At 49.7% G+C, this 23,022-nt stretch overlaps 1 pseudogene across 1 annotated transcript in view, besides 4 other annotated features; it reads left to right on the top strand.

Annotated features, from left to right (window-relative positions):
- Window positions 1-21,930, top strand: part of FER1L4 (fer-1 like family member 4 (pseudogene)) — a 48,826-nt pseudogene extending 26,896 nt beyond the window's left edge. The window contains exons 29-43 of the transcript NR_119376.1: window positions 1,211-1,409; window positions 1,553-1,611; window positions 1,700-1,831; window positions 3,839-3,881; window positions 3,971-4,015; window positions 4,149-4,286; window positions 4,384-4,500; window positions 15,440-15,567; window positions 15,749-16,813; window positions 18,730-18,815; window positions 20,029-20,127; window positions 20,303-20,544; window positions 21,040-21,326; window positions 21,411-21,511; window positions 21,615-21,930. The product of NR_119376.1 is annotated as a fer-1 like family member 4 (pseudogene) (transcript). The remainder of the gene's footprint in view (window positions 1-1,210; window positions 1,410-1,552; window positions 1,612-1,699; window positions 1,832-3,838; window positions 3,882-3,970; window positions 4,016-4,148; window positions 4,287-4,383; window positions 4,501-15,439; window positions 15,568-15,748; window positions 16,814-18,729; window positions 18,816-20,028; window positions 20,128-20,302; window positions 20,545-21,039; window positions 21,327-21,410; window positions 21,512-21,614) is intronic.
- Window positions 3,499-3,661: a silencer, noted in NCBI's record as "fragment chr20:34164928-34165090 (GRCh37/hg19 assembly coordinates)". NCBI's record gives its function as "represses an EF-1alpha promoter that drives an FKBP-Casp9 reporter gene in an ReSE screen in phorbol 12-myristate 13-acetate-treated (for megakaryocytic differentiation) K562 erythroleukemia cells {active_cell/tissue: K562(+PMA)}" and the evidence as "EXISTENCE:reporter gene assay evidence [ECO:0000049][PMID:32094911]".
- Window positions 20,618-21,117: an enhancer, noted in NCBI's record as "H3K4me1 hESC enhancer chr20:34147317-34147816 (GRCh37/hg19 assembly coordinates)". NCBI's record gives its function as "activates a minimal SCP1, AML or CMV promoter by ChIP-STARR-seq in primed H9 embryonic stem cells {active_cell/tissue: H9 hESC(primed)}" and the evidence as "EXISTENCE:reporter gene assay evidence [ECO:0000049][PMID:30033119]".
- Window positions 21,118-21,622: an enhancer, noted in NCBI's record as "H3K4me1 hESC enhancer chr20:34146815-34147316 (GRCh37/hg19 assembly coordinates)". NCBI's record gives its function as "activates a minimal SCP1, AML or CMV promoter by ChIP-STARR-seq in primed H9 embryonic stem cells {active_cell/tissue: H9 hESC(primed)}" and the evidence as "EXISTENCE:reporter gene assay evidence [ECO:0000049][PMID:30033119]".
- Window positions 22,462-22,643: a silencer, noted in NCBI's record as "fragment chr20:34145795-34145976 (GRCh37/hg19 assembly coordinates)". NCBI's record gives its function as "represses an EF-1alpha promoter that drives an FKBP-Casp9 reporter gene in an ReSE screen in K562 erythroleukemia cells {active_cell/tissue: K562}" and the evidence as "EXISTENCE:reporter gene assay evidence [ECO:0000049][PMID:32094911]".

Raw genomic sequence — 23,022 nt, 5'->3', positions numbered from 1 at the left:
TAAAATAAACCATAATATATATTTTAAGACAGAGTCTCACTCTGCTGCCTAGGCTGCAGTGGCGCGATCTCGGCTCACTGCAACCTGTGCCTCCCAGGTTCAAGCTATTCTTCTGCCTCAGCTTCCCAAGTAGCTGGGATTACAGCCACCCGTTACCACACCCAGCTAATTTTTTTGTATTTTTAGTAGAGACAGGATTTCATCATCTTGGCCAGGCTGGTCTCAAACTCCTGACCTCAAGTGATCTGCCTGCCTTGGCCTCCCAAAGTGCTGGGATTACAGGTGTCAGCCACCATGCCCAGCCAAAAAATATATTTGTGTGTGTGTGTGTGTATATACACATATATATTTTAGACAGGGTCTCTTGCTCTGTCACCAAGGCTGGAGTGCAAATCTTGGCTCACTGTAACCTCCGCCCCCTGGGCTCAAGTGATCCTCCCACCTCAACCTCCTGAGTAGCTGGGACCACAGGTGCGCACCACTATGCCCGGCTATTTTTTTGTATTTTTGGTACAGATGGTGTCTTGCCATGTTGCCCAGGCTGGTCTCGAACTCCTGAGTTTGAGCAGTCTGCCTGCCTCAGCCTCCCAAAGTGCTGGGGTTACAGGCATGAGCCACCATGCCCAGCTTCTGACAGCACTTTGTAGGCTCCAAAGTACTTATGTTTCTATTATGTCATTTGATATTTACAACAGTCTTTTGAATCCAGGATTGTGTCCCTTTTTTTTTTTTTTTTTTTTTGAGATGGAGTTTTGCTGTTGTTGCCCAGACTGCAGTACAGTGGTGTGACCTTGGCTCACTGCAACCTCCACCTTCTGTTTTCAAGCGATTCTCCTGCCTCAGTCTCCCGAGTAGCTGAGATTACAGGTGCTCACCACCACGCCCAGCTAATTTTTGTATTTTTAGTAGATATGGGGTTTCACTACGTTGGCCAGGCTGGTCTCGAACTCCTGAACTTGTGATCTGCCCACCTTGGCCTCTCCAAGTGCTGGGATTACAGGCATGAGACACTGCGCCCGGCCTGTGTCCCTTTTTTAGCTAGGAAACAGGATGAGAAGGCAATGGTTTACCAGAGATTACACAGTGAGGCTATGGCAGAGCTGGGCTTAGAATGCAGGTTTAGATGTATTTTTTTTCCTACCTGTCTCTGTGGCTACCTTTCCCTGTTCCCCAGGTCTTCAAAGACACAGCTCCTCTCTTCCACCCCCAGGACTTGCCGGAGCAGCCTTACTTGCAGCCTCCACTCAGCATCTTGGTGATTGAGCGCCGGGCCTTTGGCCACACAGTCCTTGTGGGTTCCCACATTGTCCCCCACATGCTGCGATTCACATTTCGGGGTCATGAGGATCCTCCTGAGGAGGAAGGAGAGATGGAGGAGACAGGGGATATGATGCCCAAGGGACCTCAAGGTTAGGAACCTTCTCCTTCAGGGACACCAGACAGAAGCCCCTCTGATTCCTGGTGGACGTGGCTCCAGAGGGCCCTCCGATGGGGTGTGGAATCTGACTTCTACTTACCCACTCTCCTCATGCTGCCATTTTCCCCCTCCCAGGACAGAAGTCCCTGGATCCCTTCTTGGCTGAAGCGGGTATATCCAGACAGCTCCTGAAGGTGATGGGGTAGAGGAGATAGATGGTGAAGGGGCTGGCAGTACTTGGGATGGTGCTGGGTTAGAGGGACAAAGTCTGCTCTTCCTCAGCCTCCTCTGAAGAAGCTCCCACTAGGAGGCCTCCTAAATCAAGGCCCTGGGCTGGAGGAAGACATCCCAGATCCAGAGGAGCTCGACTGGGGGTCCAAGTACTATGCGTCGCTGCAGGAGCTCCAGGGGCAGGTGGGGGCAGAGAAGGGTCCCAGGGAGGGGGCTGGGGTGTAAATGGTAAAAAGAATGATATCTTAGCTAGGCATGGCGGCGCGCACCTGTAGTCCCAGCTACTCAGGAGGCTGACGCAGGAGAATCACTTGAACCCAGAGGCAGAGGCTCCTGTGAGCTGAGATCATGCCATTGCACAACAGCCTGGGTGACAGTGAGACTCCGTCTCAAAAAACAAACAAAAAACAAGAATGATCTCATTGAAGGTGGAGCTCTACAGTTTTTCAGAGCTCTTCATTATAGTCCTCTTTTCTTCACAATTCTAGAAGCTGGGGATTATTAACTCCATTATCTAGAGCTGTGTTGTCCAAAAGACATAACACGAGCCACATACGTAATTTTAACTTTTGTAGTAGCCACATTAAAGTAGAAGGGGCCAGGCGCGGTGGCTCACGCCTGTAATCCCAGCGCTTTGGGAGGCCAAGGCGGGTGGATCACGAGGTCAGGAGATTGAGACCATCCTGGCTAACATGGTGAAACCCCGTCTCTACTAAAAATACAAAAAATATTAGCGGGGCATGGTGGCGGGTGCCTGTAGTCCCACCTACTCAGGAGGCTGAGGCAGGAGAATGGTGTGAACCTGGGAGGCGGACCTTGCAGTGAGCCGAGATTGCGCCACTGCACTCCAGCCTGGGCGACAGAACGAGACTCCCTCTCAAAAAAAAAAAAAAAAAAAAAAGTAAAACGAAACAGGTGAAATTAATTTTAGTAATATATTCAAAATACCATTTCAAGGCTGGGCACAGTGGCTCATGCCTGTAATCCCAGCACTTTGGGAGGCTGAGGCAGGCAGATCACTTGAGGTCAGGAGTTCGAGACCAGCCTGGCCAACATGGCGAAACCCCGTCTCTACTAAAAATACAAAAATTAGCCGGGCGTGGTGCTGGGCACCTGTTAATCCCAGCTATTCTGGAGGCTGAGGCAGGAGAATCGCTTGAACCTGGGAGGTGGAGGTTACAGTGAGCCGAGACTGTGCTCCAGCCTGGGTGACAGAGTGAAACTCTGTCTCTCAAAAAAAAAAAAAAAAAAAAAAAAAACTTCAACAAGTAATCATAAAATTTCTGAGATATTTTACATTCTTGTTTTTTGTACTAAGTATTTAAAAATCCGGTTTTTATTTTATACTTATCGCACATCTTTTTCTTTCTTTTCTTTTTATTTTTAGAGATGGGGTCTTTATCTGTTATCCAGACTGGTCTCAAACTCCTGGGTTCAAGTGATCTTCCCACCTCAGCCTCCCCAGTAGCTAGGACCATAAGTACATACCACTACACTCAGCTAATTACAAACTTTTTTTTTCCTGGGTGTGGTGTTTCATGCCGGTAATCCCAGCACTTTGGGAGTCTGAGGTGGGAGGATCACTCGAAGCCAGGAGTTTGAGAACAGTCTGGGGAACATGGTGAGACACCATCTCTACTAAAAATGAAAACAAGTAGCTGTGCATGGTGGTACACGCCGGTGGCCCCAGCGACTCAAGAGGTTGAGGTGGGAGGATCACTTGAGCCTCGGAGGTTGAGGCTACAGTGAGCCATGTTCACACCAATACACTCCAACCTGGGCTACACAGCAAGAGTCTGTCTCAAAAATAAATAAATAAAAATTAAAAAGCATTTATTTCATAGAGACAGGTTCTCACTGTGTTGTTCAGCCTGATCTCGAACTCCTGGCCTCAAGTAGTCACCTCAGTCTCCCAAAGTGTTGGGATTCCAGGCATGAGCCACCAAGCCTGGCCACTTACAGCACATTGCAATTCAGACTAGCCACGTTTTGACTGCTCAGTAGCCACGTGTGGCTGGTGGTGACTGCCCTAGACAGGGCAGGCTGGATGATAAATTGGAGCTTTAAAAATGCAAGTGGCATACACAGTGGGAACTTGAGTGAAGGTTTCCCAACTCTCCTGGAAAAGGGGGTAGACTAAGGGGTTGAAGGGGATGGGGAAGAATCTCTGGATCTGCTCTTTAATTTCAGCACAACTTTGATGAAGATGAAATGGATGATCCTGGAGATTCAGGTAACAGATTGGGCTTTTTGCTCTGGTTCCATCTGCCCATCCCCTACCCACCCAGATATTTCTGACTGGGGCATTTTTGCTGTTTCCAGATGGGGTCAACCTCATTTCTATGGTTGGGGAGATCCAAGACCAGGGTGAGGCTGAAGTCAAAGGCACTGTGTCCCCAAAAAAAGCAGTTGCCACCCTGAAGGTGACTGGGTACTGGGAAGAGGAAAGTCTCCTTTGGATTCTGGACATCGGGCTGTTGCTGAAGTCCTTGCCTTTTAGATCTACAACAGGTCCCTGAAGGAAGAATTTAACCACTTTGAAGACTGGCTGAATGTGTTTCCTCTGTACCGAGGGCAAGGGGGCCAGGATGGAGGTGGAGAAGAGGAAGGATCTGGACACCTTGTGGGCAAGTTCAAGGTACATTTGGGGAAGGAAAGCGGAACCAGGGAGCCCAGGTGGGGATTCAGGAGGACAATTATCTTACCAGAGCTTTTTCTGTCTCCCCCCAACTCAGGGCTCCTTCCTCATTTACCCTGAATCAGAGGCAGTGTTGTTCTCTGAGCCCCAGATCTCCCGGGGGATCCCACAGAACCGGCCCATCAAGCTCCTGGTCAGAGTGTATGTTGTAAAGGTGAGTCTCCATAGCCCTGGCACGCCTCCAACTATAGCTAAGGTAATGTACACAAAACCTACAGAAGGAAGGCTTTGGGAGGAACCTCGTGATCACAGAGTTCAAGTTCTTCATTTTTCAGGTGAGAAATTGAATCCACAAATTTAGGAGATCCCCTAGGGTTATAAAGCATGTTCATGGCAGAACCAGAATTGGGAGTTGGTCTCCTGACCCCTGTTTGTAGTTCTAGTCCTGTAGAATGGCACGTATAATTCTAGGATGAGAACAGGGCTGAATCTCAGGCTTCAGAAGGCTTGTTACCAAATACCTTTGTCCAACTTTGTCCATTGGTGCAGTTTTCATACTGAGTTCAGCAGGGCCTTGAAGTATTCTTAAAGATATCTCGGAGCCGGTTGTGGTGGCTCACGCCTGTAATCCCAGCACTTTGGGAGGCCGAGGCGGGTGGATCACGAGGTCAAGAGATCGAGACCATTCTGGCCAACCAACATGGTGAAACCCCATCTCTACTAAAAATACAAAAATTAGCTGAGCATAGTGGCTCATGCTTGTAGTCCCAGCTACTCGGGAGGCTGAGGCAGGAGAATCACTTGAACCCAGGAGGCGGAGGTTGCAGTAAGCCAAGATTGCGCCACCACGCTCCAGCCTGGGTGACGGAGCGAGACTCCGTCTCCAAAAAAAAAAAACAAAAAAGAAAGTGAGTGGCAAAGGGATGGAACGAAAGGGGGAAAGGGGTCAGGGTTGCGAGAATGAGGACAAAAATGACACTTCTCAAAGTAGATCTTTTTGTATACCTCTGACTCTTAGAACTGTAGCAGTGTTTCACATGCCCCTACAATAGACAGAAAATTAAAAGCAATCACAGTGTTGAGGAAACCTAACATGGAATACAAACACTAACAAATGACCCTCACTGTATTACAAATGAACAATATAACCACACTGAAGGAAGTGAAGAACAAAACCAAGTAACTCTGGAAAACAGTAATTTGACAGGGCTCTATAAAACTCTAGATGGGCCTGGTGCAGTGGCTCACACCTGTAATCCCAGCACTTTGGGAGGCCAAGACAGGAGGATCACTTTAGCCCAGGAGGTCAAGACCAGCCTGGGCAACAAAGTGAGACTCCATCTCTACAAAAGATTAAAAAACTAGCTGGATGTGGCTGGGTGTGGTGGCTCATGCCTGTAATGCCAGCACTTCAGGAGGCTGAGGCAGGTGGATTGCCTAAATTGGGTGGATCGCCTGAGGGTCAGGAGTTTGAGACCAGCCTGGCTAACAGGGTGAACCCCGTCTCTACTAAAAATACAAAAATTAGCTGGGCATGGTGGCACGTGCCTGTAGTCCCAGCTGTTTTGGAGGCTGAGGCAGGAGCATTGTTTGAAGCTGGGAGGAGGAGGTTGCAGTGAGCCAAGCTTGTGCCACTGCACTCCAGCTTGGATGACAGGGAGAGAGCTTGTCACAAAAAACAAAAACAAAACAAAAAACCAACTAAACTAAAGATAAAGAGAGCTGAACATAAATGCTGTCATCTAGTTAGAAGTATGTGTTAGCAATTCTGAAACTATATTATGTGTATACTGGTATACATGAATAAGTAAACTATATTGTAGATAATGAGAACCAGGTTTCTTACTGTTGGAGAAAGAAGTTACAGATAAGGAAAGGGGATTAAATGAATGCTGTGGTATTAGATCAGAAACAGAAGTATCTGTATAAACTCATGTTTTTAAATATACACAGATGGAAAGATACAGAAATATAGATATGTGTATATATATGTGGATTATGTTATTCATGTTTGCTATCTCCGTTTGCTGAGAAGGCCTAGAATCAACAACATCCTAGTAGCAGTGAGCAAACCAGGTGCCCAGATTTTGGTTTCTAAAAACCATTATTTAATAAAAGGATTAAGGACTCCTTGGAGTTGATTCCAGGACTAGGACTGGGAAAATATAAGTCAAATCTGGAGCATCTTGTGGGGCAGGAGTAAGGAAGTGCTCAAAAAAGGATGGGGGCTTGATGAAAGAATGAACACAGGAGCCAACCTGAAGGAGCTCCTAATGGTTAAGACTTGAAAAATTGGGGCAACAGAATAAGTAATGAGGCTGGGCACAGTGGCTTTCGCCTGTAATCCCAGCACTTTGGGAGTCTGAGGCCAGGGGTCCAAGACCAGCCTGGCCAACATGGTGAAACCCTGTCTCTATTAAAAATACAAAAATTAGCTGGGTGTGGTGTCAGGCACCTGTAATCCCAGCTACTTGGGAGGCTGAGGCAGGAGAATTGCTTGAACCTGGGAGGTGGGGGTTGCAGTGAGCCAGGATTGTGCCATTGCACTCCAGCCTGGGCAACAAGAGCAAGATTCTGTCTCAACAACAACAAAAGTAATGATAGTATTGGATATTCAGACTTTCTTTTTTCTTCTTTTCTCTCTCTCTAGCTCTTTTTTTTTTTTTTTTTTGAGACGGAGTTTCGCTCTTGTTGCCCAGGTTGGAGTGCAATGGCACTGTCTTGGCTCACTGCAACCTCTGCCTCCCAGGTTCAAAGGATTCTCCTGCCTCAGCTTCCCAAGCAGCTGGGACTGCAGGCATGTGCCACCATATCCTGCTAATTTTGTATTTTTAGTAGAGACAGAGTTTCTCCATGTTGGTCAGGCTGGTCTCAAACTCCCGACCTCCGGTGATCCGCCCGCCTGGGCCTCCCAAAGTGCTGGGATTACAGGTGTGAGCCACCGTGCCCAGCCTGCCTTCTTTTTTTGTTGTTGTTTTGAGATGGAGTCTTACTCTTGTTGCCCAGGCTGGACTGCAATGGCACAATCTCAGCTCACTGCAACCTCCACCTCCTGGGTTCAAGTGATTCTCCCACCTCAGCCTCCGGAATAGCTGGGACTATAGGCACACACCACCATGCCTGGCTAATTTTAGAGATGGGGTTTCATTCACCATGTTGGCCAGGCTGGTCTCAAAGTTTTGACCTCAAATGATCCGCCTGCCTCATTACAGGCGTGAGCCACTGCACCCAGCTCTCTGTCTCCTCCTAATGCTCCCATTATACGTGTGTTGGTGTACTTAATGGTGTTCCACATTTGTTTGAGGCTCTATTTCATTTTTCTTTTTTCTCTTTTCTCTCTGTTCTTCAGCTTACATAATCGCTTTTGATCTAGCTTCAAGTTTGCCAATTCTTTCTTCTGTTCAAATCTACTATTGAGCCTCTCTAGTGAATTTTAAATTTTAGTTATTGTACTTTTCAACTCAAGAATTTTCATTTGGTTCTTTTTAAAAAAATGTATGGCTTGGCTGGGTGTGGTGGCTCATGCCTGTAATCCCAGCACTTTGGGGGGCTGAGGCGGGTGGATCATGAGGTCAGGAGACGAGACCATCCTGGCTAACACGGTGAAACCCCGTCTCTACTAAAAAAAATACAAAAAATTAGCTGGGTGTGGTGGCATGTGCCAGTAGTCCCAGCTACTTGGGAGGCTGAGGCAGGAGAATTGCTTGAACCTGGGAGGCAGAAGTTGCAGTGAGCTGAGATCACACCACTGCACTCGAGCCTGGGTGACAGAGTGAGATTCTCTCAAAAACAAAAAAAAAAATGTATATCTCTTTATTGATATTCTCTATTTGATGCAACGTTATCATCATACCTTCCTTTACTTCTCTAATCAAGCTTGCCTTCAGTTCTGTGAACATGTTTACACTGGCTACTTTGAAATACTTTCCAGTCGGCCGGGCGCAGTGGCTCACGCCTGTAATCCCAGCACTTGGGAGGCCGAGGCAGGCAGATCATGAGGTCAGGAGATCGAGACCATCCTGGCTAACATGGTGAAACCCCATCTCTACTAAAAATACAAAAAATTAGCTGGGCATGCTGGTGGGCACTGTAGTCCCAGCTACTCGGGAGGCTGAGGCGGGAGAATGGCCTGAACCCAGGAGGCGGAGCTTGTAGTGAGCCGAGATTGTGCCACTGCACTCCGGCCTGGGCGACAGAGCAAGACTCCGTCTCAAAAAAAAAAAAAAAAAAAAAAAAAAAATATATATATATATATATATAGATAGATAGATAGATAGATACATACATACATACATACATACATACACACACACACACATACATACTTTCCTGTTAAGTTCAACATTGTGTTGCTCTCACGGGCATTTTTTGGGGGGTGGATGGAAAAATAATTTTTCTATTTCTTTGCAGGCCTCATAATTTTTTGTTGGAAACAGCATTTAGATAATATATGATAGCAACTCTGGGTACTGAGGTTTCTTGTTATTTGCTTGTTTATTTGTTTAGTGACTGGCTGGATTATTTTAGCAAAGTCTATTTCCCATCCCCTGTGTTAGATCACTGATGTTGCTACTCTGGCAGGTGCAGCTTTGGATATACCACTGTCACCCTAGGATGACAGTGGTACTGGTAGGGCCCTCTTGCATTCTTTTCCCTGACCACACCCAGTTAAGCTCTACTTATTGCTCTGTCATTTGCAGTAGTATCCTGGGAGCATAAAATCCTCTACAAATAAATCTAATCAAATGGTGGCTCTTTCCAATGAATACTTTCTGAGGTTAGTGTTTGATATTTGTTTTAACCCCAGGAGAGCTCCTCCCAGCTGTCTTATCCTTTGGCTCTCCCCTGTAAAATAGATACAGCCTGTAGTCTAAGCTGTATCTTCATTACATCCACGAATCTCCTCCCAATCCCTTCACTACAACGTCCACTTTTTTTTTCTTCTTTAGACACAGTCTCACTCTGTTGCCCCAGCTGGAGTGCTGTGGCACAGTCTCGGCTCACTGCAACCTCCGCCTCCTGGGTTCAAGCAATTCTCTTGCCTCAGCCTCCCGAGTGGCTGGGATTACAGGCGCCTGCCACCACATCCAGCTAATTTTTTGTATTTTTAGTAGAGACAGGGTTTCTCCATGTTGGTCAGGCTGGTCTTGAACTCTTGACCTCATGATCCGCGCCCCCCCCTTGGCCCCCCAAAGTGCTGGGATTACGGGCATGAGCCACTGTGCCCGGCTGAGACCCTATCTCTACAAAAAAATTTAAAAGTTAGGCCAGGTGCAGTGGCTCACCTCTGTAATCCCAGCACTTTGGGAGGCCAAGGTGGGCAGATTACCTGAGGTCAGGAGTTTGAGACCAGCCTGGCCACCATGGTAAGACCCCAATGCTCTACTAAAAATACAGAAATTAGCAGGGCATGGTGGCATGTGCGTAGTCCCAGCTACTAGGGAGGCTGAGGCACGAGAATTGCTTGAACCTGGGAGGCAGAAGTTGCAGTGAGCTGAGATCATGCCACTGCACTCCAACCTGGGCGACAGAGCTAGACTCTGTCTCAAAAAAAAAAATAAAAAATAAAAACAAAATAAAAATTACCTGGACGTGGTGGTTCCTGCTTGTTGTCCCAGCTACTCAGGAGGCTGAGGTGGGAGGATTGCTTGAGCCACTGAGGATGCAGTGTGCCAGAAAAAAAGGAAGAAAACTTACTTATTTTTGAGATAGTCTTGCTCTGTCGCCCAGGCTGGAGTGCAGTGGTGCAATCTTGGCTTACTGCATCCTCCACCTCCTAGGTTCAAGCAATTCTCCTGCCTCAGCTACCTGAGTAGCTGGGATTACAGGTGCCTGCATCCACGCCTGGCTGATTTTTCTATTTTTTAGTAGAGACAGGGTTTTGCCATGTTGGCCAGGCTGGTCTTGAACTCCTGGCCTCAAGTGATCCACCCACCTCGGCTTCCCAAAGTGCTGGGATTACAGCCATGAGCCACCATACCTGGCCAGAAAACCTGAATAGTACTATAAGTATTAAAAGAAATTGTGTCAGAAACTCCAGACCAAATGGTCTCAGCAGCAGTTTCCACCAGTTATGGATGAAACAATTTTAATCTTACACAAACCATTTCAGAGAATATAAAAAGAAATACCCCAGTTAATTCCATGAGGGTGGCATAATGTTGATGCAAAACCTGAGAAGAATGACATGAGAAAGTATAATTCTAGGCCAGTTTCACTCACAAACATTTATTCCACAGGTATTTCTTGCATTTTTTTTTCTTTTTTTTTTTTTTTTGAGACGGAGTTTCGCTCTTGTTGCCCAGGCTGGAGTGCAATGGCGCAATTTCGGCTCACTGCAACCTCCGCCTCCTGGGTTCAAGCGATTCTCCTGCCTCAAGCTGGGGTTTACAGGCATGCACCACCACACCCAGCTAATTTTGTATTTTTAGTAGAGACAGGGTTTCTCCATGTTGGTCAGGCTGGTCTCAAACTCCCGACCTCAGGTGATCTGCCCGCCTTGGCCTCCCAAAGTGCTGGGATTAGAGGTGTGAGCCACCGTGCCCGGCCTTTCTTGCATTTTTTATGAGGTACTAGGCAGTGTTCTGGGTACTGGTGATAAAAAGCAGTGAGTAAAACAGATGAAAATCAGTGCCCTCGTGAACTTTACATTCTAGTGAAAAGAGATGAACAATAACCATAATCAATAAGTAAATTATATAGCTTACGGGCTGGGCATGGTGGCTCACGCCTGTAATCCCAGCACTTTGGGAGTCTGAGGAGGGGGCAGATCACCTGAGGTCAGGAGTTCGAGATCAGCCCGAACTCCTGTCTCTACTAAACATACAAAACCCGTCTCTACTAAAAATACAAAAATTAGCCAGGCCTGGTGGCACATGCCTGTAGTCCCAGCTACTCAAGAGGCTGAGGAAGGAGAATTGCTTTAACCCAGGAGGCAGAGGTTGCAGTGAGCTGAGACCACACCACTGCACTCCAGCCTGGGCGACAAGAGCGAAACTCCATCTCAAAACAAAAAAAAGTTATATATCTTATTTATATGTTAGAAAATTATAAGTGCTGTGGAGAAAATATGTCAGGATAAAGGGATGGGGGAGTGCTGGGGGTGGGTTGCAAATGGATGGTCGGAGTTGATAGACCTCAATAAGACTTTTTTTTTTTTTTTGGTAGAGACGAGGTCTTGCTATGTTGCCCAGGCTGGTCTCGAACTACAAAATGCTGGATTACAGGAATGAGCCACCATGCCCGGCTGAGAAAGTGTTATTTAAACAAATACTAGAGTTGGGCACAGTGGCTTCCACCTGTAGTCCCAGCTACTAGGAAGGCTGAGATGGGAGGATTGTTTGAGCTTGGGAGGTTGAGGCTATAGTGAGCTGTGATGCCACCACTGCAGTTCAGCCTGGGTGACAGAGAGAGACCCTGTCTCTTAAATACACACTAGGAGGGGGCCAAGGAGTTATCCAGGTGGCTACCTGAGGGAGAAAGCATTCCAGGCAGAACAGCTGGTACAGAGGCCATCAGGTAGAACCATGACTCGTGTGTGACAAACAACAAGGGGCCCCTTGTGGCCGTAGCAGGCAGGATAAATGAACAGGTTTTAGGAATTAAGGCTTCAGAGGAAATGGAGCAGTGATGGGCAGAGAAAGCAGATCATGTTGGGTTTTGTTATTCACTTTATTCTGAATTACATGGGAAGCCATAGGAAGGTTCTGAGCAAAGGAGTGCCAGAATATAACTTACATTTTCTTTTTTTTTTTTTTTTTTTTTGAGACAGAGTCTCGCTCTGTCACCCAGGCTGGAGTGTAGTGGTGCTATCTTGGCTCACTGCAACCCTTTCCTCCTGGGCTCAAGCGATTCTCCTGCCCCAGCCTCCCAAGTAGCTGGAATTACAGGCGCTCGCCACCACGCCTGGCTGATTTTTATATTTTTAGTAGAGACAGGGTTTCGCCATGTTGGCCAGGCTGGTCTCAAACTCCTGACCTCAGGTGATCCACCCGCCTAGGCCTCCTAAAGTGCAGGGATTACAGGCATGAGCCACTGCTCCTAGCCTTTATTGTCCTTTTAAAAAAATGAATGTCAGGCCAGGCGCAGTGGCTCATGCTTGTAATCCCAGCACCTTGGGAGGCTGAGGTGGGCGGATCACGAGGTCAGGAGTTCGAGACCAGCCTGGCCAACATGGTGAAACCCAGTCTCTACTAAAAATACAAAAAATTAGCCGGGCGTGGTGGCAGGCGCCTGTAATCTCAGCTACTCAGGAGGCTGAGGCAGGAGAATCGCTTGAACCCTGGAGTCAGAGGTTGCAGTGAGCCGAGACCGCGCCACTGCGCTCCAGCCTGGGTGACAGAGCGAGTCTCTGACTCAAAAAAAAAAAAAAAAGAAAAAGAAAAAATTAAGATCATCTTAGTGGGTATAAAGTGGTATCTAATTGTGGTTTTGATTTGTTTCCTAATGACACTGAACAGTCTTCATGTGGTTTTTAGAACTTTGTATATCTTGGAGACATGTCTAAAGTCCTTTGTCCGTTTTAAAATTAGATTGTTGTTTTGTTGTTGAGTTGTAGGAGTTCTTTGTATATTCTGGCTACTAGATTTTTATATGGCTTGCAAATATTTTCTCACTTTCTACGTTGTCTTTTCACTCTATTGATAGTGTCCTTTAAAGCAAAAGAGATTTTAATTTTGATGAAGTCTATTTTTATTTCTTTTATTGACTGTGCTTTTTGGTTATAGCTAAGAAACCTTTGCAAAATCCAAGGTCATGAAGACTTTTGCCTGTTTTCTGCTGTGAGTTTGAGTTTTGACTCTCATGTTTAAGTCTGTGATCCATTTGGGGTTAGTTTTTGTATCTAGTGTGAGGTGAGGGTCTGACCTCATACTTTTGTATGTGACTGTCCAGTTGTCTCAGCTCCATCTGTTGGAGAGATGGTTCTTTTCCCATTGAATGGTCTAGGTACCCTTGTTGAAGATCAATTGACCATAGATATGTGGATTTCTTTCTGGACTCTCAGTTCTATTCTACTGATCTATGTTTATGCCACTACCATACTCCTTTATTACTGTCTCTGCAGTAAATTCGCGGGTTTTTTTTTTTTTGAGACAGGGTCTCACTCTGTTGCCCAGGGTGGGGTGCAGTGGCATGATCACGGCTCCCTGCAGCCTTGACCTCCCAGGCTCAAGCGATCCTCCCACCTCAGCCCCCACAAGTAGCTGGGACTACAGGCGCATGCCACCACACCCAGCTAATTTTTTCTATTTTTTAGTAGAGACAGGATTTCACCATGTTGCCCAAGCTGGTCTCGAACTCCTGAGCTCCTGCCTGTCTTAGCCTCCCAAAGTACTAGGATTATAGCCATGAACCACTGAGCCGAGCCAGCACAGGAAATTAAGGCTTGACTGAGTATCTCTAAGTAGGATTTGGACAGGACAAGAGAAGAAAGAGATTTCAAAGAATAAAATTAATATGTAATCACAAGGAGAAAAAAAGCTTTGCCTTTATGAAGACTGCATTCTAGTAGGAGAAACAAACATTAACAAAATAAGTAAATGTTTCAGTGCGTTAGAGAGGCATAAGTGTGGCCAGGCGTGATAACTCACGCCTGTAATCCCAGCACTTTGGGAGGCTGAGCCAGGCGGATCACCTGAGGTCAGGAGTTTGAGACCAGCCTGGCCAGCATGGTGAAATCCGTTCTCTACTAATAATACAAAAATTAGCCAGGTGTGGTGGCATGTGCCTGTAATCCCAGCTACTCGGGAGGCTGAGGCAGGAGAATCCCTTGAACCTGGGAGGTAGAGGTTGCAGTGAGCCGAGATCATGCCATTGCATTCCAACCTGGGCAACAGAGCGAGACTCTGTCTCAGGGAAAAAAAAAAAAAAAAAAAAGAAGAAAGCATAAGTGCTATGGAAAATATAAATACCAAAAAAAAATCAAGTTGGCACAGTGGCTCATGCCTGTAACCCCAGCTACTCAGAAGGCTGAGGTGGGAGGACTGCTTGATGCCAGGAGTTCTCGAGACCAGCCTGGGCAACAGAACAAGACCCAATCTCTAAATTAAAAAGATGTAAAGATCATCATAGAGAAAGTACAGATTACCACAATGGAATGACAGTCAGCCCATCAACTTCTCTACAGCAACCAAAAGTGCTGGAAGAAAAATAGAATAATATCTTCAAAGCACTGAGAGAAAAATAACTATCACCCTTGAATTGTGTGTCCCAGGAAACACTCATTCAAGAGAGAAAAAAATGAAAGACCTCTTTAGGCAAACAACAATTGAAAAAATCACCCAACAACTTTCAGTCAAGAAACTACACAGGGCTGGAGGTGCAGAGGCTCACACTGTGTAATCCCAGGACTTTGGGAGGCTGAGGTGGGAAAATCATTTGAGGCCGGGAGTTCAACACCAGCCTTGGCAATGTAGTGTGAGACCCCTGTCTCTATAAAAAGGGGGGGAAAAAAACTACACAGGATGTAATTTCTTTCTTTCTTTCTTTCTTTTTTTTTTTTTTTTTTTGAGACGGAGTCTCGCTCTGTCGCCCAGGCTGGAGTGCAGTGGCGCAATCTCGGCTCACTGCAAGTTCCGCCTCCCGGGTTCACGCCATTCTCCTGCCTCAGCCTCCTGAGTAGCTGGGACTACAGGTGTGCGCCACCACGCCTGGCTAAGTTTTGTATTTTTAGTAGAGATGGGGTTTTCCATGATGGCCAGGCTGGTCTCAAACTCCTCACTGCAAATAATCCACCTGCCTTGGCCTTCCAAAGTGCTGGGATTACAGGTGTGAGCCACTGCGCCCGGCCCAGGAGTTTGAGACCAGCCTGGGCAACATAGTGAGACCCTCATCTCTATTAAAAAAATTCATAAATTAAAAAATAAGTCAAACCATATAGAAAGTTATGAGTTGAATAGTAAGTCCGTTATACATCTTTCAAAATATTTTGTTTCATTACACTTTTTGTTATACCTATTTGTATGACTTAACTATTTCATAACTAATTGAAAATAAAAGTCATCTTGTCCAACCTCTCCATTAGCTCCTCACAGTGGGAGATCTCTCCTTGATAACTTCCTGCTTTCACCCAATGGGAAATTAGGTCCTACAAAGGTAACCTTGGGTTATCATAATGACATTTCTCTCAGTTCCACTCCATGCTGTTCCCCTAGGCTACCAACCTGGCTCCTGCAGACCCCAATGGCAAAGCAGACCCTTACGTGGTGGTGAGCGCTGGCCGGGAGCGGCAGGACACCAAGGAACGCTACATCCCCAAGCAGCTCAACCCCATCTTTGGAGAGTGAGGCTGGGCCCTGTGGGGTGGAAACGGGGTAGCTGCAGGAGCATCCAGCCCTGTGGCCTTGTGGCAGCTGGCCTAGGAATGGCAAGGGAATGGACAGGGGATGCTGACACACCCGCCTCCTCCCCAGACCACCTCCTGGAGCATGGAAGTGACCTCAGTCCCTCTCCCTCCTTGCCAGGATCCTGGAGCTAAGCATCTCTCTCCCAGCTGAGACGGAGCTGACGGTCGCCGTATTTGATCATGACCTCGTGGGTTCTGACGACCTCATCGGGGAGACCCACATTGATCTGGAAAACCGATTCTATAGCCACCACAGAGCAAACTGTGGGCTGGCCTCCCAGTATGAAGTGTGGGTCCAGCAGGGCCCACAGGAGCCATTCTGAGTTTCTGGCCAAACACATTCAAGCTCACATTCCCTTTTGTGTTCTCCAGATCCTATGATTTCATGGAAGGGGACCCTCCCACCCACCGCCACTGCCAACCAAGACATAGCTCAGTGGTCAAGACTTGGGCTTGGGAGTCGGGATCCTGTAACGAATGTCACTTGACCGCTTTCTTTTTTTATGAAACAGTCTCGCTCTGTCTCCCAGGTTGGAGTGCAGTGGCACGATCTCGGCTGACTGCAACCTCCACCTCCTGGGTTCAAGCGATTCTCCTGCCTCAGCCTCCCCAGTAGCTGGGATTACAGGCGTGGGCCCCCATGTCCAGCTAATTTTTATATTTTTAGTAGAGACAGGGTTTCACCATGTTGTCCAGGCTGGTCTTGAACCCCTGACCTCAAGTGATCCACCCACCTCTGCCTCCCAAAGTGCTGGGATTACAGGTGTGAGCCACCATGCCAGGCCCACTTAACCTCTTCAAGTCTGTTTTCTCATCTGCAAAACAGAGGTAATAAGATCAGTATCTTCTTAATGGAAGCACCTGGACTACATTTTTTTCATTCATTGTTATCATAAATGAGGACTAACCTGTCTCCCGTTGGGAGTTTTGAACCTAGACCTCATGTCTTCATGACGTCATCACTGCCCCAGGCCCAGCTGTGTCCCTACACCAGCCCCAGCTGACGCATCTTCTTTTTCTGCCTGTAGAGATGGTTACAATGCCTGGCGTGATGCATTCTGGCCTTCGCAGATCCTGGCGGGGCTGTGCCAACGCTGTGGCCTCCCTGCCCCTGAATACCGAGCCGGTGCTGTCAAGGTGGGCAGCAAAGTCTTCCTGACACCACCGGAGACCCTGCCCCCAGGTATCAGCCCCTTTCTGTTCAAGCAAGATGTCGGTAGAACAAGGTACAGGGGGCCCAGTCTTGTGTGCTCCCCAAAATAACCCATTTCTTCAGCAAGTAGATGTGAATTTGGTTGAGTAAGGACGAGGTTCTTGGGTATTAGGGAGAAAACAGTCTTTATTGGTGAGTGTGAGATTCCCCCAAAGAGCCAAAGTGGACCCATAACTAATCAAGTTCCCGGAACACAGAGGTCCCATAGAGCGCCCCATATAACAGAATGTGGCTGCAGAATTAAATGGCTGGAGGCTTATTTTTTATTTATTTATTTTTTTTGAGACAGGGTCTTGCTCTGTCACCCAGGCTGGAGTGCAGTGGTGCCATCTCAGCTCACTGGAGCCTGGACCTCCCAGGCTCAAGTGATCCTCCCATCTCAGCCCCCTGAGTAGCTGGGATTACAGGCACGTACCATCACGCCCACCTAAGTTTCTTTCTTTTTTTTTTTTTTTTTTTTTTTTGGTAGAGATGAGGTTTCGCCATGTTGCTCAGACTGGTCTCAAACTCCTGGACTCAAGCAATCCTCTCATCTTGGCCTCCAAAAGTGCTCGGATTACAGGCATGAGCCAGTGTGCCTGCTCTGGTGGCTTATTCTCTAAATAGGGTCTAGGCAAAGGTGGCAGTACCTCCAATCCCACTGTCCCACTGACTGCTGGCTTTTCACTGGGCAAAGTTATAGCAGCGTCTCCCACTTTTTGTGCATTACAGAGCTGCTCTCCTAGTCCACAGGGCTTTATCCAACACAGTGGCTTCCCCAGCTTAGAGCTTCTGTTGGGGGGGCGGGGCGGGGGAGGGCGGGAGGAGAGATGGAAACTGTGTGGAGCCCTAAGCTCACACACCTCTTGCTTCAGGCAGCAGCAGCCCCACAGTGGCGAGCGGGGACCCTGAAGAGGCCCAGGCATTGCTTGTGCTGCGGCGCTGGCAGGAAATGCCGGGTTTTGGGATCCAGCTGGTACCCGAGCATGTAGAAACCAGGCCTCTCTACCATCCCCACAGCCCAGGGCTGCTACAGGTGTGGGAGGGCTCAGCACCCAGGCCCAGAATCACAAGACTCTTAGAATCCCAGGACACCCACCTGATCCTGGACCCTGGGCCCCCAGGACAGCCTTTCCCCAAGATGTCCACCTGGGTGCCACCTGCAGCTCCTGACTGCAGCTCCTGTTGCTGGTCCCTGTGTCCCTGCTCATCTTGGACCTCCATCCTGGACCACACCTTCACCCTGACCCTAGTCCTACAGGATCCCCACCCCCGGGCCCCAAGACTCAGATGTGGGGTTCCTAACCTGACCTCCCCCCAGATCCCTAAGATCTGGACCTTGGAACACCAGATATTACTTTTAATCTCAACTTCCCCTTCTGGAACCTCATTTTTTTTTTTTTTCCTTTTTGACATGGGGTCTCACTCTGTTGCCCAAGCTGGAGTGCAGGTGCATGATCTCGGCTCACTGCAGCCTCCACCTCCCAGGCTCAAGTGATCCTCCCACCTCATCCTCGGGAGTAGCTGGGATTACAGGCGTCTGCCACCACACTCGGCTAGTTCTTATATTTTTTGTAGAGACAGGGTTCCGTCATATTGCCCAGGCTGGTCTCAAACTCCTGAGCTCAAGTGATCTACCCTCCATGGACTCCCAAAGTGCTGGGATTACAGGCGTGAGCCACCGCGCCCAGCCTGGACCTCATCCTTGAACCCCTAATCTAACCTTGATCCTGGAACCCACACTTCAGACTCCACCTTCATCCTCATCCCCCAGGATCTACCCGACCCTGTCATTTTGACCCTAGCTCTTTTCTCCACTTGGGGACAAGGCACAGCCTGTGGCCATAGGGCTGTCAGGGAAGGTTGGGAGCCTGGCAAGACCCTCCAGCCTGGTCCTGTCCCCCCAGGGATCTCTTCACATGTGGATTGACATCTTTCCTCAAGATGTGCCTGCTCCACCCCCAGTTGACATCAAGCCTCGGCAGCCAATCAGGTGAGAGTTCTGTCGCCTCCTCCCAAGGCGGGTGCACATCCTGGTCTACCTGTACAAGGCTCCTCTGAAAACCCGGGTCCCCAGTGAAGCAGGCAGAGGTTGCTCATCACAGGCTTTTCAGTTAGGTGTCATTAAATTCCCTGTTATTCAAAAGCATTGCAAGTTGAGTGTCTCTTGTAAATTGAGTCCAAGTACCTTTTGGTAAGCCCCCTTCCCACCTAAGCTCATCTGAGTGGAGTTGTGTGTGGGTCACAGCCACTTCACACAGGGCTGAATGCAGATGCTCGGATATCAGCAGCCTGTCACTTTCTGCCTCTGGGCTCTGCTTTCCTTGGTGTCGCTCTCAGGGAGCCCTCTGCAGGGCTGGGGGCAAAGTGGCATCTAACAGTGCGAGGCTTACATCTCAGCCAGGCCACTTGAGCAGAAACAAACACCTCTTTCCCAGTTACAGCAAAAGCCTCAGGGCTGACTCAGCCGACCAGCTTGGGTCAAATGCTGTGCCCTGAAGAACCAATCATTGTGGTTAGGGGGCTGTAATACTCGAATTGGCCAGTCCAGTGATGTCTCCCCGACCCCGTCCAGCCAGGGAGGGAGGGGCCTGCCCCACCAGAATTCCATAGATTGACAGTGGTGGTGGGGAGGGGTGGTTGGGGTGGGGGTGGGTCACCAGCAGAAAATCACGGTGCTGTCAACAAATGAGGGGAAATTGATGCTGGGCTGGAGAAAACAGCTATCCAGGCAACCCCATGGCCCCCAAAGACAGGGCTATATGCGGGTAGGGTCCAGAGTGTCGCAGCCCTCCTGTCCCTCAGGCGCTGTATGCTCCTGTCCCCCATCTCTCATCCTCCCTCTTCTCCCTGCAGACTGGCTTTCTGTTCACTCACTTTTCTACATCCCCAAACTCTGGCTTGTGGTAGCTCCAGCTTTGCATCTGATGCCACACCATGCAACAGTGCAGCGCCCTGATTCTAAATTCACGGGAAGGAGAACCTCGCTGGCCCCACAGACCATTCCTGGGGCCATCTGCTGTGGCCAGGGTGGTCAGTGACACCTGGGGCTTCCCTTCATGGGACCACAGGCATTGGATTCCCCTGCTGGGCACACAGGTGTCCAGTGAATGTCAGTGGCCCCGGCCCAGGTCCCTCCTGCTTCCTGCAGCCCCTTTTAGGGCCCCACTCGAGAGTCTGAAGCCACCCCCTAATGTGCCCCCCAGCTATGAGCTCAGAGTTGTCATCTGGAACACGGAGGATGTGGTTCTGGACGACGAGAATCCACTCACCGGAGAGATGTCGAGTGACATCTATGTGAAGAGGTAGGCTGCTGGCCGGGTGGGGCAACGGCGGTGCACTAGGGGGATTGCAAATGGGTGTGGGCCCTCGGGCTGAGTCCAGAGCCCCGACCCCAGGCCCTCCGTGGTGCTGAGAGCGGGGTGAGGAGTGGGTTCTCCATGTAGCTCCAGCCCTGACGCTCACCCACCCCGGCCCCAGCTGGGTGAAGGGGTTGGAGCATGACAAGCAGGAGACAGACGTTCACTTCAACTCCCTGACTGGGGAGGGGAACTTCAATTGGCGCTTTGTGTTCCGCTTTGACTACCTGCCCACGGAGCGGGAGGTGAGCGTCCGGCGCAGGTCTGGACCCTTTGCCCTGGAGGAGGCGGAGTTCCGGCAGCCTGCAGTGCTGGTCCTGCAGGTCTGGGACTATGACCGCATCTCTGCCAATGACTTCCTTGGTATTACAATGCTTAGCCTTCCCCACCCTCAGCCCCTGCCTCCGGCCCTCACCTCCGCCCCTGCCTCCAGCCCTCACTTCCGTCCCCCAGTTCCCTACTCTGACCCAACCTTGAATCTTGGGATTTTGGACCCGAGGTGTGAAACCTTTGCTTTCTGGCCTAATTACTGAGTTAATTAGGCCTAGACCACAGTAACCTCCATTCCCACCCAGAGTCTCTGATTCAACTCTGATTTGACCCTAGCTTGTCACCCTGACACCGACTCCACAGCCTTTGGTCCTTGGCACTCTGATCCCGACCCTTGGCCCTCTTCCACTGGGAAGTAGCAATGGGTGGACCGCTGGGCTGTGGTCTGGGTGGTCTATAGCTGTGGCCTGACCGCACACTGCAACAACTTTCAATGCCCCAATTTACAACCTTGGTGTGTTGCCTCCTCACCCCTGGCACAATGAGACTTTGATCCCATGCCTAATCTGGTGTGCTCTGGACTTGCAGGATCCCTGGAGTTGCAGCTACCAGACATGGTGCGTGGGGCCCGGGGCCCCGAGCTCTGCTCTGTGCAGCTGGCCCGCAATGGGGCCGGGCCGAGGTGCAATCTGTTTCGCTGCTGCCGCCGCCTGAGGGGCTGGTGGCCGGTAGTGAAGCTGAAGGAGGCAGAGGACGTGGAGCGGGAGGCGCAGGAGGCTCAGGCTGGCAAGAAGAAGCGAAAGCAGAGGAGGAGGAAGGGCCGGCCAGAAGACCTGGAGTTCACAGACATGGGTGGCAATGTGTACATCCTCACGGTGGGTGCCCGTGGGCAGAGGCCAGGCTGAGCTGGGGCCTGAGCCCGCCCCCTGCTCCCAGTGATGCAGGAATGTCTTTTTTAGGGCAAGGTGGAGGCAGAGTTTGAGCTGCTGACTGTGGAGGAGGCCGAGAAACGGCCAGTGGGGAAGGGGCGGAAGCAGCCAGAGCCTCTGGAGAAACCCAGGTGAGTCAGGCACCGGGGCTGGGGCCACAGCCTGGGCCGATGGGGAGGTGGGGGTGGTCAAGGGGCTTCCTCCTCATCCTGACACCACTCTTCTCCTCAACAGCCGCCCCAAAACTTCCTTCAACTGGTTTGTGAACCCGCTGAAGACCTTTGTCTTCTTCATCTGGCGCCGGTACTGGCGCACCCTGGTGCTGCTGCTACTGGTGCTGCTCACCGTCTTCCTCCTCCTGGTCTTCTACACCATCCCTGGCCAGATCAGCCAGGTCATCTTCCGTCCCCTCCACAAGTGACTCTCGCTGACCTTGGACACTCACCCAGGGTGCCAACCCTTCAATGCCTGCTCCTGGAAGTCTTTCTTACCCATGTGAGCTACCCCAGAGTCTAGTGCTTCCTCTGAATAAACCTATCACAGCCACTGACCTGTGATCACGTGCTATACAAGGCCGGCACCAGGTGGCAAAGAACAGAGATGTTCTTGGGTGACCTCAGGTGCTGGGGACTTGAAGAATGCACAGGGATGGAAGGCTGCCCCCATCCCCACCACAGGGAAGAAAAGGGCCCCGGCAGCTGAGTTATCACACCCACTCCACCACTGCTCCTGCTCCTGCTGGTGGCCAGGTCCCTCTCACCTAATCTGTTTCTGGCTTCCACCCCTCCAGGACAGCTAAGGACCTGACGGACTCCATTAACCTGTCCATTCCTCACCATCCCTGAGAGAGGCTTCCATCAGAGCTAAAAGTTCTGCTGTCACTACCTGACTTCGCTTCCTTTCCCCTCTCTCTCGCTTTTCCCCTGCCACAGTCTTGCATCAACATTCGAGACATGATCTGATAAACTGACTGGCTGTTTAGGTACCCCTGGTTCCCTAGGCTGTGGACTGGTGAGGTTGCTGGGCCCTGGTTCTCCACATGGATCCAGAGTTCTAATGGGAAACCCTGATTAGGCTCCAAGCCAGGGGTCTGGTGCTGGCCCTGCTCCAGAATGGCCACTGACTGCTACTTTCGCACCTCAGTGTTCAGTTTTGCTTCCATCTAGACTGCAGAGGACCTGGAGGGATTCCTCTCTGCAGTGAGAGCCAGCGTGGGGTTTGGCACAGAGTGGGATCAGTGAGTGTGACAGGATCAGGTGTATTGAGCCCAGGGTGGCGGAGAGCGGCCCCAGCTTTACCCATCAATGAAGAAGTGGCAAGCCCCAATATGCACTCAGGGCCCTGAATTAGTGGCCTGGGGTTGATCACTCATGAGCCTGGGGGCCATGGTGGCTCCAGGAAGCTCACGCTGAAAAGGTCCATCTGAGCCCTGGGGCTGAACCCGAGAGGCCTGAGGACCACAGTGGAGGAGGGACCCAGGACAGGGCTGTGGGCTGGACATGAACCTGGTTTGAATAAACCCCGGTTAACTAGGGGATGCCCATGTGGGGCTCCCGAGGGCTCTGGGCCCCGATCTGTCAGTCACAATTGCCTTCAATGAGTGGCCAGGATGAGGCTCTGGCCATGGCAAGGATCACACGGA

This window comes from Homo sapiens, chromosome 20, assembly GCF_000001405.40.
Source record: "Homo sapiens chromosome 20, GRCh38.p14 Primary Assembly".
In the NCBI taxonomy this organism is placed as follows: domain Eukaryota; kingdom Metazoa; phylum Chordata; class Mammalia; order Primates; family Hominidae; genus Homo; species Homo sapiens.
Note: the sequence above shows the minus strand (reverse complement) of the source record. Positions and strands in the feature narration are given on the sequence as shown.